At 46.8% G+C, this 17485-nt stretch overlaps 1 protein-coding gene and 1 long non-coding RNA gene across 8 annotated transcripts in view, besides 2 other annotated features; one reads left to right on the top strand and one right to left on the bottom strand.

The window, feature by feature from the left end:
• Positions 1 to 12704, top strand: part of RAE1 (ribonucleic acid export 1) — a 27948-nt gene extending 15244 nt beyond the window's left edge. For 6 of the 7 annotated variants that reach the window (NM_003610.4, XM_005260582.3, NM_001015885.2 and 3 more), the window contains exons 6-12: positions 309 to 395; positions 510 to 581; positions 2207 to 2314; positions 6977 to 7083; positions 7165 to 7240; positions 8109 to 8303; positions 11515 to 12704. In NM_003610.4, the coding sequence (NP_003601.1) occupies positions 309 to 395; positions 510 to 581; positions 2207 to 2314; positions 6977 to 7083; positions 7165 to 7240; positions 8109 to 8303; positions 11515 to 11601 (732 nt within the window). In that variant the 3' untranslated portion in view covers positions 11602 to 12704. Of the gene's footprint in view, positions 1 to 308; positions 396 to 509; positions 582 to 2206; positions 2315 to 6976; positions 7084 to 7164; positions 7241 to 8108; positions 8304 to 9680; positions 9769 to 11514 lie in introns of those variants that run through there. The other variant, XM_011529087.3, reaches the window with a different exon arrangement.
• Positions 7982 to 8979: an enhancer, noted in NCBI's record as "H3K27ac-H3K4me1 hESC enhancer chr20:55949536-55950533 (GRCh37/hg19 assembly coordinates)". NCBI's record gives its function as "activates a minimal SCP1, AML or CMV promoter by ChIP-STARR-seq in naive and primed H9 embryonic stem cells {active_cell/tissue: H9 hESC(naive and primed)}" and the evidence as "EXISTENCE:reporter gene assay evidence [ECO:0000049][PMID:30033119]".
• On the bottom strand, positions 9742 to 16106 carry LOC124904938 (uncharacterized). Its single transcript, XR_007067671.1, has 2 exons — positions 11054 to 16106; positions 9742 to 10679 (listed from the first exon to the last, which is right to left on the bottom strand). It is a non-coding gene; the product is annotated as an uncharacterized LOC124904938 (long non-coding RNA).
• Positions 15275 to 15569: an enhancer, noted in NCBI's record as "tiled region #7479; K562 Activating DNase unmatched - State 25:Art". NCBI's record gives its function as "activates a minimal TATA promoter and a strong SV40 promoter by Sharpr-MPRA in K562 cells {active_cell/tissue: K562}" and the evidence as "EXISTENCE:reporter gene assay evidence [ECO:0000049][PMID:27701403]".
• Positions 16107 to 17485: the final 1379 nt, after the last annotated feature.

The raw sequence follows: 17485 nt of genomic DNA on the forward strand, positions 1-17485 counted from the left end.
CCAGATCTCAGAGAACTCACTATTGTGAGGACTGTGCTAACACAGGAGGGATCCGCCCCCATGACCCAGACATCTCCCACCAGGCCCCACCTTCAACACTGGGGATTACATCTCAACATGGGATTTGGTGGGGACATGCAAACTCTGTCAGTGAGGAAGGATTGGTAAAATGCTAAGTATGTTTTGGTTTTTGTTTGGTATGGCCCCAGTATTTAAATTAGTTTCTTCCCTTTGAATTGCCACAACTAAAGCTGTTCAGCACATTCTTACATTTACCTTGATCTGTTTTGTTTTTGTCTTGTTGAAAGCATGATGCTCCTGTTAAAACCATCCATTGGATCAAAGCTCCAAACTACAGCTGTGTGATGACTGGGAGCTGGGATAAGACTTTAAAGGTATAATGTGCAGTTGAGGCATTGTTTGGCCCCATCAGGATTGTCATTTATTTTTGCACCATTTCGACTTCTGCTCTGAATGGTCACATACTGGCTTCTCTTTTTTGCTTTTAGTTTTGGGATACTCGATCGTCAAATCCTATGATGGTTTTGCAACTCCCTGAAAGGTGTTACTGTGCTGACGTGGTAAGGGATTTCAACTTAATATGTATTTACTTTAAAAAAAAAACAAAATAAGTATTCTCACCTTGTGGCGTCCTGCAGTTAGTGAGTGGATAATATAAAAATCCTGCTAGCTTTAGTAATAGATATAAAGGATCGAGTTGAGATTGCCTCAGTCGTCTCCAATTGGGAGATTTTTGTGCTGCGTTTCTTTTAGAAGTACTAAATGCTGGATGTCAAGTTTTCCTGCCACTCGTTTGAACATATGCAGCTAGCTACATGCCATCTCTAGTGTGACATCTATCATGTCCTTTCCATGGCAGTAGGAAAACTTGCAGTAAGTTTGTGAGGTGGTACCAGGTCTTTGGGGACTGTTTCTGAGTGGGATAGAAATTGAACTTTCTCGGCCAGGCATGGTAGCTCACGCCTATAATCCTAGCACTTTGGGAGGCAAAGGTGGGTGGATTGCTTGAGGTCAGGAGTTCGAGACCACCCTGGCCAACATGGTGAAACCCCATCTCTAAAAATACAAAAATTAGCTGGGCATGGTGGCGCACGTCTGTAATCCTAGCTATTCGGGAGGCTGACGCATGAGAATTGCTTGAACCCAGCAAGTAGAGGTTGAAGTGAGCTGAGATCACGCTGTTGCACTTCAGCCTTGGTGATAGAGTGAGATACTATCTCAAAAAAAAAAAAAAAAAAGGAAAGAAAAAGAAATGGAACTTTCTCCATTTGTTTAGTCACATCTTAAAGTTTTGTACCAACAATCCCGTAATTCCACTTTTAGGAATTTATCACAAGAAAATAATCATAGATACAGATGGTCTTTGTTTTTTTTGTTTGTTTGGTTTTTGAGATGGAGTCTTGCTCTGTCGCCAGGCTGGAGTGCAGTGGCATGATCTCAGCTCACTGCAACCTCTGCCTTCCGGGTTCAAGCGATTCTCCTGCTTCAGCCTCCCGTTAACTGGGACTACAGGTGTGTGCCACCAGGCCCAGCTAATTTTTATACTTTTAGTAGAGACGGGGTTTCACATGTAGGCCAGGATGGTCTCGATCTTTTGACCTCATGATCCACCTGCCTCGGCCTCCCAAAGTGCTGGGATTACAGGCGTGAGCCACCATGCCCGGCTGGTCTTTGTTTTATGTAATATAGTGAAACATTGGAAGTGGCCTAAGGGGCCACCAAGACACAGATAAATAAACCCTGTGGTAGGTTCATTTGAGGGGACGTTAGAAGCCACTGCTAGTACTTGAAAAAGTGTGTGACGTGGACCTTATGAAACATGTTTTGAGTAAAGGATATGAACTGTACAGAAATATGCTACATACCAAGTATAACGCTGAGAACAAAGGCTGGAATAGTGACAGCAACTGAAGGAGTGGTGTAGGGGATTTTTATTTATTCTTAGTTCCTGAGTATATTTTCTAAATATCCACATATTTTATAGTTAGTTTTAAAACACGAGACTTTTTAAAATATATGAATGTTCTACTTTCAAATACTATTTCTCTAGGTTTTAGTGAAATATAATCCCAGGATTATTAAAATCCAGACTTAATGTTGTAACCAAAAATTGATCAAATACATTAGTATAAAAACAGCACACTCCTTCACCTGAAGCGCATCTCTGTTTTCTTCCATTCCCTAGATATACCCCATGGCTGTGGTGGCAACTGCAGAGAGGGGCCTGATTGTCTATCAGCTAGAGAATCAACCTTCTGAATTCAGGAGGATAGAATCTCCACTGAAACATCAGGTGCGTCATTAGTCAAATCAAGAAGTATGTATTTAGCACCTGTTGTATGCAAGATTGTGCTCACATCTGGAATACAGTTGTACTTTGTAAAACCTGTAAGTATGTTCAAAGAGGGGTGAATTGAAGGATATAAACACAAATACTTAGTGAGTGAATATTAAGTAATACTAAGGTATCCCTGGATGAACTGAATTTATGTCTTCTCCAAACATGCCCCTGGATGGCTGAGTGCTACTGAATTGTAGGGGCCAAGGGAAAACTTCTCCTTTGCCCTCTGAAGGGGTTCACTGAAAAGTAGCTGGTAAAAGACAGATTAATAGGAGAAATGGCATACAAATGTATTGATGTGCACAGCGTCTTACAACGATCTTAAAGGCAATATGGTTGATGCTTTCATACCATCTTGAGGTCACAGAAAGAAGGGGGCTCAGGGCATGGCCCAAAACAGGCTTTCATGGTAAATTGGGTTCTCGTGGCAAGACAGGTTATGGGAAGAAGAGAAGAAGAGGTCTGTGTAGCAAAGGTGGTCTTGTTAATGTGGAGGAAACCCCACAGGTAGCACCCTCGGAGAGAACTGAGACCTTTAACGGCATCAGACTGCAGTTAATCTTCCCTAATCAGGACAAGGGAAGGGCCTTGGAGAAAGCCTGGCTGCATCAATGCCGATTTTCTCTGCAGATGCAGATCTCCCCACCAAAGATAGCTTTTCAGCTATTATTTCCAGCCCTTCTGTATAGCCATCTTGAAATATGTCAGAGAAGTCTATTTTGGGGCAAAATATTTTGGTTTCCTTGAGAATAAAATTACACATCTGGATGGGTTGGTTCCATTGTAAATTCCTAGCTTCCAACTTCAACTCTGTCTGCATCATGCCTAGATGCTTGCTAGCTTTTTCACCTTAGCTCAATCCTCCACTTGCCACAGGGCTGCTGGGCCTGCACTCTTGTCAGCTTCTCCTTCCTTTAGTCTTTGTCTCAGCCAATCAGATCAGCTCTTGCTCAGAGAAAAAAGAAGCTAATGGGAACTTCCTCCTCTTTCTCCTGCCAGATCTAGAAATCTGCCCGTGCTTGCCTCCTCCCCTGCCTTTTCCCCCATGAGGTGGAAGCCGTCCTGCTAAGGCCAGTTTTGTGGTGGGACCCATGCCCTCCAGCCTTCTCAGGAACCGTATGCAGAGTATCACCTCTTTCCCATACACCCGTCTCTCCTGCCGCGTAGTACTTCTCCCTTAGCACTGACACTAGCTCAAGTCTAGTTGATCCTAGAAAACACACCTCCCTTGATCCCCACATCCTCCTCCAGTACTGCCCGCGTCCCTATTCCTTCCGCAGTGGGGCATCTTGGATGAAATGTCCTTTATTCCCTCACCTCCCACTCATTTCTAACTCAGTGAGACCTTTGCCCCCCATTGTTCCACCAGAACTGTTTTTGGCGTGACTACCAGTGGCATCCTCATTGGTAATTCCAGGGGACCCTGGACACCCATCCTCTTACTGGAACAGAGCTTCATTCACTGTTCTTACAAGAAACATTTCCCCTGGCTGCTGTCTTGCCAGCCTCTTACCCGCTACCTCTGTGGCTCTTCTATCCTTGCTGGCTCTTGGCTGAATGTGGAGGTTCCACAGACATCTCCCTAAGCCGCTGCCTCCTCCACCCAAGCACAACTGATCTCCCATCCACTGTCGCTCAGCCACGCCCTGTGGACTGGAGACTCGTACCTCATTCCTGTGCTCCTGACATGGACACCCAGTCGGACAGCTCCTTGGTGTGTCTCCCAGGCGTCTGAAGCTACGGTATCCCACACCAAACCCAAGACTACATTCTGTAGCTCTTTATTCACATGTTACCCTTGCCTCAGGATTCTCCCTTGCTACTGCCACCAGTACCATCTACTTTATACGTATGTATGGATGTCATATACATACTAAATATTTCCCTTCTTTTGCCTACTAGAATGTAAACTCCATGAGAGCAGAGATTTTTGTTTGTATTTGTTGCTGCCTCCCAGCACTTGGAGGAGGGCCTTAAGTGTAAAAGGTGCTCTGTGAATATTTGCAGAGTGAACATTTGATCTGAACCTGCCCCTCTCGGCCACCACCAGCCTGTTGCTCCTGATGTGCTTCACAGCCCATTCAATGGGACCTCCATCTCCTTTGTTATAGCCAGAAATCTTGAGGTCACCCCTGATTGGAACTTTCCCTCTCCTGTCTCACTAATCCTCAGTCTCCTCCCCTCTACCCTGAAATTATTTGGGAATCTGTTCATTTTTCTCCCTCCCTCCTGCCACCACATCTAATTCAAATCTTGGAAAGCACTTAGATCAGAACTCTATGACATTGGTCTTGGCAGTAATTTCTTGGATATGACACCAAAAAGCACAGGCAACAAAAGCAAAAATGGCCAAGTGGAACTGTGTTAAACTAACAGCTCTTGCACAGCAGAGGGAACCATGGAAAAGAGTGAAAAGGCAGCCTGTGGAATGGGAGAAAACATCTGGAGGCTATTTCTGACAAGGGATTGATTTCCAAAATACGTAAGGAACCCCTGCAACTCAATAGTGAGAAAACTGGTGACGTGAAAAATGGACCAAAGACTTGAATAGACATGTCTCCAAAGAAGACATACAAATACCCAGCAGGTGTATGGAAATGTGCTTAACATCCTAACTATCAAGGAAAGGCAAACAAAAACCACAGTGAGATACCATCTCCTAGCTGATGGGACCACTGTTACCAGAAAGCCCAAAGATAACAAGCGCTGGGGAGGGTGTGGGGAACATGGAACCCTTGTGCACTGTTGGGGGGATGCAAAATGCCACAACCGTTACAGAAAACTGGAGGCCTCAAAACATGAAAAACAGAATCACCATACGATCTAGCAGTTCCACTTACAGGTCTTGATTCAAAAGAATCAAAATGGGTATTTTGAAGAGAGACCTGTACTGCTAGTGTTCCTTGCAGCACTGTTCACAATAGCCAAGTGAACAGATAAAGAAAATGAAGTGTATACCTGCAGTAGGATGCTGTGCGTGCAGCCTGAAAGAAGGAAATCCTGCCATTCGTGACAACGTGGGTGACCATGAAGGAGATTATGCAAAATGAAATAAGCCAGACACAGAAAGAAACTGCATGGTTCCACTTAAATGTGATATCCAGCATAGACTCACAGAAGTAAAGGGTGGAATGGCGGTCATCAGGGGATTGGGGGAGAGGGAAATGGGGAGCTACTTAATCAATGGGATGAAATTTCATTAAACAAGATGAGAATGTTCTAGAGATATGCCGTACTACATGGTACCTGTAGTCAACAATAATGTAGACTTAGAAATGTGTTAAGCGGTGGCTCTCATGTTCACTCTTCTTACCACAGTAAAATCAGCACTTAGACCTTGGCCCTGGTTCAAGGCGTCCTCCGGAGCTGAGGCAGGGGCTCTTGTAAGCGGCACCACTGGCCTTGCCGGACCCCAGCCTAAGCCCTTCCCTGCCTCCCCATTTCCTTTTGGTTGAATCCAAAAAAAACCTGGTCCCATCTGGCTTCACTTCCTGCCACCCGGTGCTAGCGCCCTGGCCTCTCCGTTGTTGAGAACTGATTGCCATCGGCCTTTGCACAGGGCCAGTGCATGTGGCTCTTGGTGCAAGTGACACCCCTGGCATTGTGCAGTTCCTGGTGTGCCGCACAGTAGACCCTGTGCTGATGACCAGCCATGGCCTTTTCTGTCATCTAAGAACTTACAGATGTTTGTCAGTTTGCTTTACTTTTTTTCTTCGTACTCACAAAAGTAATGGTCTGGCAGTTTTTAAAAAGGCAGGGGAGCAAACAGTACAGGAATGAAAGAGGAGGCCGTTTTCCTTCGTACTTAGGAAACGTGCATCACCAGCAGCTGTCACGATGCCAGAGGCTGCTTCTCCCTTCGTCTTGCCTGGCCCCTGCCTGGGTCCTGCCAGGCTTCCCCTGAACTCACACGGAAGCTCAGATGACCAGCTTAGGCAGGGTGGATGGCCCTCCAAGCTTTGGCCAGGTTGCCACGACTGGAAGGAGGAAGTGGTAACTCCAAAGTTGGCTTCTCCTCGGGGTGGTCGGCTTTTCTGCCCAGGAGGCTGGGTAGTGGAATTTCTGGGTTCTTCTGTAGAATAGAGACCTGCCCTTGGGCCCTCACACTCAACACTGGGCGAAGTGCAGCGTGTTGCTTGTCTGTAGCATGGCCACTGCACCCACCGTCCCCTTCACCCTGTTACCCTGTGAGACGGGTGCGGCAGAGCCTGCATCCCTCCTCCAGCTGGGGAGGCAGAAGCGCAGAAGCTTCGGGTGACCTCCTGAGGGGTGTCTGCCTAGCCAGGGACGTCTCCATTCCCCACAGGCAGGGCCGCTGTCTGCCTCGCAGCCCATGGGGCTCTGCTGGCGTGAACGCGGCCTTGCAGGGTGGCAGAGGGAGAGCGAGCAGCGGGGGCGGGGGAGGAGCACAGGGTGTGCAGTTGGGTCATAAACTCACTGCTTAGATGGAGTTACTAAGGAGTTAGAAAGCAATGCTTACTGCTGTATCATATTTGAGTGATTTTTTCTGGTTCTTCTAAAACCTAAACATGGGGTAAAAATGACTTACCTTCACGTTAGTCATGAAATCTTATATTATGCTGTGATTATGTCTCTTTTTTATTTTAACTGTAGCATCGGTGTGTGGCTATTTTTAAAGACAAACAGAACAAGCCTACTGGTTTTGCCCTGGGAAGTATCGAGGGGAGAGTTGCTATTCACTATATCAACCCCCCGAACCCGTAAGTGTGACTCTGTCAGCTTGCAGATTTCACTGGACTTTTTTTAACAAAGGAAGACTTACATGAACCTTTGTCTTTCAGCGCCAAAGATAACTTCACCTTTAAATGTCATCGATCTAATGGAACCAACACTTCAGCTCCTCAGGACATTTATGCGGTACGTTTTTAGACACTTTAACCGTGGTAATACATCTGGAAACCAGACTTGGAGGTGGCTGAGGAATTGTGGGATCAGAAAAGACTCATCACTGAAGAGCTTGTGTGTTCATGTCCGGAGATAAGTGGCTTATGCTGTAGGCTTCAGGTTTCTGTGGATTTTTGTTGTTGTTTTTGAGACGGAGTCGCTCTGTCGCCCAGGCTGGAGTGCAGTGGCGTGATATCACCTCACTGCAACCTCCGCCTCCTGGGTTCAAGCGATTCTCCTGCCTCAGCCTCCCAAGTAGTTGGGACTACAGGCGCCCAGCTAATTTTTGTATTTTTAGTAGAGACGGCGTTTCACCATATTGGCCAGGCTGGTCTCGAACTCCTGACCTTGTGATTTGCCCGCCTCGGCCTCCCAAAGTGCTGGGATTACAGGCGTGAGCCACCGCACTTGGCCTTGTTTTCTGTGTTAACGTGCCGCCTAACTAGCAGTGTTGTGTATTTGTTTCTGAACATAAGCTTAGGATGTTTTGCCGAGAGTCTTCTCCCTCCCTCAGGAGCGCTGGTAGACAGTTCACACCCACAGCTCAGACTGAGAAATCTGTTTGCTCAAAAGAAACATTTTCCTGAGGTCTGCTCCTTGTTTCTTGCTGTCCACATGCTCACTTTCTCTGGTGTGCAGCCCTCACAGGAGGCAAGATTGGGTTCTGGGCTGGCATTTGATGGAGGAAGCCTGGATAGTTTCTCTTGCTATCAGCGGGCAGCAGCTGGAAGGAAATGTACCTGTGCGCTTTGTTTCCTAACTCAAGCAGGAAGTGTGCGTGGGTGGAACCTTCTCTGCGCCCCTCTGCCTGGCTTCTCATTGTGCATGTCAATCCTTGCAGGTAAATGGAATCGCGTTCCATCCTGTTCATGGCACCCTTGCAACTGTGGGATCTGATGGTAGATTCAGCTTCTGGGACAAAGATGCCAGAACAAAACTAAAAACTTCGGAACAGTTAGATCAGCCCATCTCAGCTTGCTGTTTCAATCACAATGGAAACATATTTGCATACGCTTCCAGCTACGACTGGTCAAAGGTGAGAACTCCCGGGCCTGCTCTGGGTGCTCCAAGGCAGCAGAGCCAGGCTCTGGGTTCAGAAGGCCTAGGCCTGAGTTGTGACTCTTCTCAGGACTCACGTGTGTCCTTGGGCAGGTCACCGTCCCCTCCCTGTAAGGGGAAATTGCAGGACTTCCTCAAATGGTTGTGGGGATTCAGTACAGCCTTTGGCCAGAACCCAGCACACAGGAAGTGCTCGGCCAGTGTGAGCCATTACGGGCTGCTCTGTTCCTGGGCACAGAAGCACAGGCAAGCCGGGGGCTGCACTTTATGAAGGGGGTGGCAGGGCGGGTCATGGAGCTTTCGCCTGGGTGCTGTTGGTTGCTTGGTTGGCTGGTGGTTTGGGCAGGGGGAGTTAGGAGCTGGCAGGAGTGGGGCTGCATTTTTGAGGCCTTTGGGCATGATGGTGAAATGTGTAGACTCGGGTACTCTGCCCAACCCCATGGGAAGTGTGTTGGCTTTCAACCAGCCTGCGTGTTTCTCCACTGCTCAGCTCTTCTGGAGAGGTTGTCATCATTGTATTTGTGGTTTTCATCATTCTCCTCCCACCCCACTCTGCCCTTTGCCCACAACAGCCTTCTAGACTTTTCCCTACCCTGCCCTGGCTTCCGATGGGGAGGTCACCTGCTTCACATAGGAGGGGCTTCCAGTGGCCTGCAGTGTCTTTCCCGCTCACCTCATGTCTGCCTGCGCTGACCCCGTCTCCTTCCACCCTCATGGCTCTTTTCTGGGCCTTCTCCCACTGTCTTCTGTCCCCGTCCACCAGCTCCTCCCCTCTGTCTAAGCATGGAAGGCTCGAGGAACCATTTCCATGTATATTAAGGCTATCGAGAGAGTGGTGTCAGCACCTACCCTCTTGGTTCCCTGTGCTCTGGCCCCTCCTCAGTCCACTGCCAGGTACTTTCTGGCCTCTTGCAGCTGTACTCAGAGTCCCTGTGGCCACGTCCTCCTCATCCAGTCCAGAAGCTTCCTTTCTGTCTGTGCCGGTCACTCACCCGTCCCTTCCTGTTCCATACAGCTCTCCTCCCTGCTTCTTGGCCATGTCCTGGTTTATTCTGCTTTGGGCTGTGGTTCCTGTCCTCCTGCCAGCTCCTGTCTCCTGCCCCTCTTGCCTTGCTGGCCCCCCGCTATCTCAGCCTGGGGGGCCACCACAGGGCTCTAAACAGCGCTTTGCATTCCCAAGACACCTGCTGCCACACAAGCCAGTGACTGGAGACGTCCCTTGGTTCGGGCCCTGCCCGCTCCACCTTTAGTATTTCCCAGTCTCAGGAGCGTGGCTGCACCTGAGTCTCCCTGAGGCCCCGAACTTAGACACAGAAGTCCAGCTGATTGCCTTCCATCCCTCTGACCCCTCCAGGCCTGCTGCTGCTTCTGTGTTTCCCTGTTTGAGGGTTTGCTGTGTGAGCCATGAAGCTGTGTTCTTTTTTTAAAGCAACTTTATTGAGGTACAATTGAAATACAGTCATTGTTTAAAGTGTACAATTTGATCAGTTTCAACATCTGTAAATACCCATGAAACTATCACCATAGTCATCTCCCCGAAAGGTTTTTGTGTATATTACTGTAATCTTCCCTTACGCACACACAAAACCATGGATCTGTTTTCTGGCATTATGGACTAGTCTGAATTTTCTAGAATTTTATATAAGTGGAGCCCTACGCTACATTTTCCCCTCGCCCCAGCTTCTTTCCCTCAGCATAAGGATTTTGAAATTCACCCATGCTGTTGAGTGAATCACTTGTCCGTTACTTTTCAGTGCTGGGTAGTATTCCCGGGTGGGGTGTGCCATTTGTTTATCCATTCACCTGTGTAAGCCATGCACTCAGTTTTGTGACAAGAGTGTACTTTTTTGGTTCTGCCTGGCTGGGGGTGGACAGGCTGTGGCGTGCGTGGAGCCCGAGGCCTCAGCTCCCACATCGGGCTCTTCATTGAATCTCCTCTTTGCATACTCATCCCAGCAGCTGCATCAAAATTCTGCATTTTAACTTAAATGACGCGGGACTCTATACGTTATACGCGTTAAAAAATGTAGTAAATTGAAAGCAGTGAGAAAGGTAATTGCTTTGAGTGCTGTTTAAAAATTGAAGTAAAATCTCATTCATTTAAGCAGTTAATGTCAGCTTATTGTGGGGGTTACATAAATTAGCATCTTTTTAGTTTAAAAGAGAAATTTGCTTCAGGGGTTTTTCATTGTTCTTAGTTCAAGGACAGTTATCTCCAGTGCAAAGTCATGATCACATATGATTGATGTTATTAGCTTGCTGCTTGAGTTACTGTTCAGAAAAACTACACTTTGTATATTATGAGAATTAGTGGTCACTGTTGAGCAAAACTTCTAGAGCTTTCTTGGCATGCCTGTTGGGAAGAGAATAAAAATGTGTCATCAGAGTACAGGTGACAGAGTGCACCCAGCGCCATGCCCCACCTCCCTCTTCCAGTCCTTTGGCCCACCTGCGGCTCCTGCCTGCTGTCTTTCTTCCGGATCATCTGCCTGGCCCACCCCACTCACCTCTCTTCTTAAAACTTAAATGTGATCACATCACTGACCTGCCTACAGCCTCCTTTTCCCTGGGGAATAACGTTCAAAGGCCTCCCTCTGCCATTCACAGCCCTGTAGTCTGGCCTCATCCTGATTTCGGGGGTCTTTCGATGCTGTATAGCCCTGCATCCCCTCCGGTGTGGGCCCGGGCAGACGTGCACACCTCCGCACACGCCTCTGGCTCACTCACCACCGTTCATGCCTCTGCTGTGCTCCGTGTCTGTTGCTCCTTCCATGTGGGGCGGGGTGTCCTCCTTCATCCCCATGATACCCCGCAGGTCAGATGTCCTCCTTTCTGTGAAGCATTCTCAGGTCAGAACTAATTCTGACCAAGGGACCCAAGGCAGTTATCCTGGCGTTAAAGTCCTGGGGTGTTAAAAGGGGGCTCAGTGTTGAAAAGGAACTCACAGGTTCCTACTCACAGACTCTCTCAGTAGGACATTGATGACACACTGGTACCAACCACATCCTTAGGCCTTTCTCTGAGGACTGAAGTTCTGCTTCGCATTTGACTTTATCTTTGTTGTTTTATTTCTCTGAGAGATTATATGTTTCCAGTATTGTAGCACAGGACTTCACCTAGAAAAAGCACCTACAAATGCTAACTTTCTTTTGAATAATAAGATCATTGGTGTTTTTTGCTCTCTTTAGGGACATGAATTTTATAATCCCCAGAAAAAAAATTACATTTTCCTGCGTAATGCAGCCGAAGAGCTAAAGCCCAGGAATAAGAAGTAGTGGCTGGAGACTCTGGCTCAGCCAGAGTTGTTTCTCTCCACTCTGCCTCATCTCTGTACGAATTTGGGTCCCAGCCTTGTTGGGTTGTCAGCCATGGACATGGATTTCAACCCCTGGAGAAAACGATGTCATTGTTCAGCAGCTGAGAGCCCAGGCGTCCGCGGCGACTTGCCGTCTCTCCATTCCACTGCCTGTTGCAGAGTTTTTCTGTAACTAAGGGGGTTGAGGTTATTGTAGACGTTAGATTGCGGGCACCGCCAGGGATTTTGCAGCGCTTCAGTGTACGTGTTAGAGAATATTGGAAAAGCGTCTGTGAGCCCCGTGCTGTATTTTGTAATAAAGTCTTTTGCAGATTGCTTCCCGAGCTTCCTTTGTCCTTTTCTCCCCTTGCCCACCCCGTAACCTCAGGAACATGCGTCCTGCCCAGCATCAGCGTGGGGTTTTGAGTTGAGATTTCAGACACCCTCTGGGAAATGCGGCAACCTTAGGGGAAAGGGAGTCCCCAGCTGCGCTCACTTCTGCTGCGCGGAACGGCAGCCTCTGTGAGCCCTGGTGGGCAGAGTTTGAATGTGTTTTTCCTTGCTTCCCTCATTCCCATCTTCAAAATCCCCAGTGCTTTCTGGCCTTGCTGCTCAGATTTCCGAGTGACTCAAATGGGGACTGTTACTTGTGCTGGGTGACAGGCCATTTGTGGGTAACCTCCTAAGGCCCAAGTGGGTGACACTTGCGTGACTTTCAAGTTAGAACCCAAGCCCCCTGCATGGGAATTGCCCTGAACTCTTACCCACCCCGGTCCCCTGCATGGGAATTGCCCTGAACCCTCAGTAGTGGTTGTTTGGCTGTTCTTTTGTATTTTGTGTAATTTAAAATTCCTGGTTGGTAAGTATTCAAAATGAAATTCAGCTGGGCTGAGAAAAAGTGTGACTTTTGGGTCTGTCACTGTATTTCTCACCTGTGATCTCAAATGCTTCTTAGGCCTTTCTGTTTGGACTAATGTGTGAAGTCTGACTTGCTGAGTGTAAAATTCTAGTATCGATAGTGTTGTAAGATGTGTTTGCCTACTCATAAAAAACAATGAAAATAAAATTTTCTACTGGAAGAGACCACCTGCACTCAGTGGTTTAAATTCTTTGGTAGGTCACAATGAATTCAGACCCACCCACTCTCCAGCCCTGTTTTTTTAGCCCGAAAACTTATTTTTTAGAGATAAAAAAGCAGGTGCACTAGAAAAATATCTGAATTTTCAGGTTAACGGTTTCCAGCTCATTTTCCTCTTCACTTTATGAATCAAGCCTGTGGTCTTATCAACGTGGGGAAGATCTAGCTAGCATAAGACTGCTGTGAGGGGAGATTGAAGCTTGATTATCTCAGCAGCCAACTTTCATATTCAGCTTTAGCTTAGCCAGAGTTTCATTGTTTTTACCACCCCTAGTGACGGGCTAGGGTGGAAAATGAGTCTAAATTGCAGGCCTTTTAGAGTGCGCTTTCCCAGGATGGGACCTTGCCACCTCCCCAAGGGGATAGTTTTTGTAATTGGCAAATTTAAAACATTTGCATAAATCCAAGATTGGACTGGGCTGTCAGAACCTGGGAGGGAGCTCTGCTGCCACCAGGATGTGAACCCTAGATGAGGCCCAGGCTCATTTCTCTGCTGCCCAGGACCTAAAGCATAAAAGCACACTACATGTTTGCTAATGAGGATCTAGGAAGTATTCACTGAGATCGTTAAGCTTCTTCAAATATTTATGTTCATGTTTCCTAAAATGCATATGAAGTCTTAGAGGAACTCTTCATCTTAAACTTCAGCATCTTTGCAGGCACCTGTAAGTTGCATGCAGTAGGTGCTCATTAAGTATTCATAAGTTTGATGGCATCTTCTACTTCAAAGAGATACTAGTGTAATCTTGGCTCTTTGTTTCACTAAATGTCAAGCCGTCCTGCCATTAAATATTGACTGCACACCCTGTTAAGAGCTGCTTTCGTTGAAAGTAAAGTATATAAACCTCATGGAGAAGACAAATTGTGTTCTTTCACTTAATTTTTTCCAACATATGAAAATTTTAAAACATCCACAAAAGTGGAAAGGGTTTTGGCAGTGAACATACACCTGCCATCTGCCTGCCACCAGGATGCCACCATGAACACTCACCTTTCCCTTGATTTTCTGCTTGGTTTTGCCTGGCTTTCCTCCCAGTCTTTGTTGTAACATCGCTTCCTTGGTTCCTCACTGTGGGAACAGGGCCTCATGGGAAGAACTTTGTGTAAAGATGCTGCTGCAACAAGGTGGCAGGGATTTAGGGTGGGCACAGGAAGGTGCACTCGGTTCCTGTCATGTTTGGTTGGAAGCAGGATGGAGCTGTGGTGGGTTTGTGTGAGACACCTGTCTGTGAGCCTGTGCTCACGTGTGTGCACGTGTGCATGTGAGCCTGCCTGTGAAAACCCTCTCAGTCAAAGGGGCCAGCTGAACCCGCCTGCCTCACCCCGTTTTCGGGTTAGCTTCACACCAGAGATCCTCTGGCAGAGGAAGAACAAAGGATGCGGCAAGTGCCTGGCCTGCTGGCAGTGAGCTTGCTGACTTTCACCAGAAAATCACCACCAAGAGAAGGTAAACAGCAAGGGCCAGGCGTGGTGGCTCACGCCTGGAGTCTCAGCACTTTGGGAGGCCAAGGCGGGAGGATCACTTGAGGCCAGGAGTTCCAGACCAGCCTGGGCAACAAAGCAAGACCCTGTCTCAAAGAAATTTTATTGAGTCATGTAGGAAATGTTTGTTTTTCTCATTCAACCAAAATTTTCGTCTCTTTTGGAGGAGAGACTCTAAAACATGAACTAAACACATGTTCTTGAACACTCGGGAGTGCCTAAGCCAGCCTTTTCCGAATTCACTCATGACCCATTCGTAGGTTGTGAAATGAACGTAGTTGTTGCAGTGAGCGTTTCTTTTAGTGGAGCCACACAAAATCACAGAATCTATGTATGTATGAGATATTTTCATATCCTGGGGTGGGATTCTTCTCTGTGCCTGTCACTTTTTGTATGGTTTAGGATGAGTTCTTAGCTTCGGTGACCTCAAGTACTAAGCCATAACTGCACTTGAGGTCTCCCCAAAATGGGAGGGATGATTATATTAATTATATTTGAAATAACCTTATAACATTGCAATTAAGAACAGGGGGCTGGGTGCGGTGGCTCATGCCTGTAATCCCAGCACTTTGGGAGGCCGAGGCAGGCGGGCCACTTGAGGCCGAGAGTTCCACACCAGCCTGGCCAACAAGGCAAAACCCGTCTCTACTAAAAATACAAAAATTTGCTGGGCACGGTGGCACCTGCCTGTAATCCCGGCTACTGGGGAGGCTGAGGCGTGAGAATTGCTCAAGTGCTTGAGCCCAGGAGGTGGAGATTGCAGTGAGCCTAGATCACGACAGAGTGAGACCCCGTCTCAAAAAACAAAAAAACATGTACTTGAAATTGGACTGCCCACCTTCAATTCCAACTCTGTCACCAACTTTGCTAACATGTGATTTACCCTTTGTTTAAGCCTGTGATTTAACCCTCTGAGCCTCAGTGACCTCATCTGTAAAATGGGAGACATTAAAAGTAGCTATCATAATGGTTGTGTGAGTAGTCAAAGAGTTAAAGCGTAAAAGTGCCCCTGTGGCTGGCCCGTGATGTGGAGTTTGAATGTAGCTGCTACTACGAGTGCCAGTGAGGATGACATCCATGAGAAGTCTCCTGCTCAATGGGGCTGTGCTGTCGGTATACAGGCGGGACAAAAAGGTCCAGAGACCAAGTGACTGGAGATCTTGCTTGTCTCTAAGATTCTTTCCCCAGGAGCCGGGTGTTGTGCTTAGGTCTGGCCAGCAGATGGCGCGAATGGCCCCAATGCCAACATTGGAGCATGTGTTTCTGTGTTCAGTTTCACAGACTTGAGTTCATTAAAAGAAATGAAGTGTTGGCCACCCCCTTCCATTTTTTGTTGTGTTGCTAAGCTTTTAGGATATTTGGGAAGTAGAATCAAAACATTGCTTATGCTGTCAGAAGAATCGTCTTAAAAATAACACACTTAGATTGAAGGCCTCCTTGGAAAATGCTAAAGGAGATAATTTGTCAGAGGTGGGACCCTGATTTTTCTGTTTCAAACTTAATGTCCGCGATGGTTTCCTCGTGGAACACTGAAGCCTTGGCGCCCGCGGTGTGGGGGCCTCTGAGCACTCCCGTGCCCCATAGCATCATCCCTGCCGTGATATGGGAAACACAAATCCCTGGTGGTGGCAAACAGGTCACTTTAAGACTCGTGTTAGTAACTTTGAGGCTCTGTGGCCCGTTGGAATTGAGATGTAAACCTAAAACAGCAGATTTCAAAGGCTTAGCGCCAAAAAAAATGAACTAAACACATGCTCTTGAAATTAATGTAAATGCCATTAATTTTCATACCAATTACACATTCAAATGATACTATTTTGGATAATTTAACTTTCCCCTGCTTATATTTGTTAAAATGTGGCTACTGGAAATTGTAGATTCCATTCGTGGCTCATGTTGTATTCATCTTTCTCTGGGACATCACTGCACTAGGTCATCTGACTTTTGGAGGTGTCACCCACCACTCCACACCAAATATTAAAATGCACCCACATCCTGCTTTAAATACACATTGTTTTGAAGGCAAATTCTTTGAAAAACTTTCCTATTTTACTTCTGAAATGATTTGGCCGTAAGCGTACACTCCATGTTGATTTCTTAATCATGACCTCGAATAATAGGGAATTTCTCACAAAGTGCAGCGTTTCCTACAAAGCTACAAATTGTTTTCAAATTGATTGGATATTAGAACACTAAATAGTTTGTGAGGTCTCCAGTATTACATTTGTAGGCCTTTACTTAAACGGATTAATTTGGGGATTTTTCTTGTTTGTTTTTGGTTTTTTTGGGGGGAGGATAGCATCTTGCTGTATCTCCCAGGTTGGAGTGCAGTGGTGCAATCTCGGCTCACTGCAGCCTCTGCCTTTCGGGCTCAAGTATCCTCCCACCTCAGCCTCCTGAGTAGCTGAGACTACAAGTGTGCACCACCACACCAGGCTCTGTTTTTTATTTATTTTTTATTTTTTTGTATTTTTGGTGGATACAGGGTTTTACCGTGTGTGCCCAGGCTGATCTCAAACTCCTGCGCTCAAGCAGTCCTCCCGCCTTGGCCTCCCAAAGTGCTGGTATTACAGGTGTAAGCCACCACACCCAGGCTGGGGTTGTTGTTTTTAAATATCTTCAAGCCAGTTCTCTTTTTCTTTCTTTCTACCTCTCTGCCCTTCAACATTTTTGTAGGCTCTTAAAAAGCTGTATAAGCCCCAGACCCCAGGGCCTGGCTATAGTGTTTAGGAAAGGCAGTCTCAACACAAGCATTGTATTTCCTTGCAAGGTACTGGCTTGTTAATCAGAGCCTGGCAATGTTTCACAGCTCTGCGAGGTCTTCCTGCTCACTGCGGTTCCCCTATCTCACGGCCTACATTTATCCCACGGAGATGGGAGAAGCCAGGAGAGGTTGTGGCTGCACCTTTGAGGGTTTTATTATGACAGGTGTTAGGTCACTGTAAGGCAAATATGGGCAGTGTAAACAGTTTCGTAGCCGACTGTGTGAGTTTTTACACTTTATTGAAGTGTGACATATAAAAGGCTGTACATATTTAACTTATACAACTTGATGAGTTTGGAGATAAACATACACCCATGAAACCATCACCACAGTCTAAGAGCCTATTGTGAATTTTGCATCAATCTATTGAAAAATATTTTTTCAGGTGAGGGCTGTTTCGAAAGCCAATGAGAAACACCTGTTGCATACTTGCTTAAAATGTAAATCGGCTCCCGAAAAAGAACTGACCTGCATTCTTAA

This window comes from Homo sapiens, chromosome 20, assembly GCF_000001405.40.
Source record: "Homo sapiens chromosome 20, GRCh38.p14 Primary Assembly".
In the NCBI taxonomy this organism is placed as follows: Eukaryota; Metazoa; Chordata; class Mammalia; order Primates; family Hominidae; genus Homo; species Homo sapiens.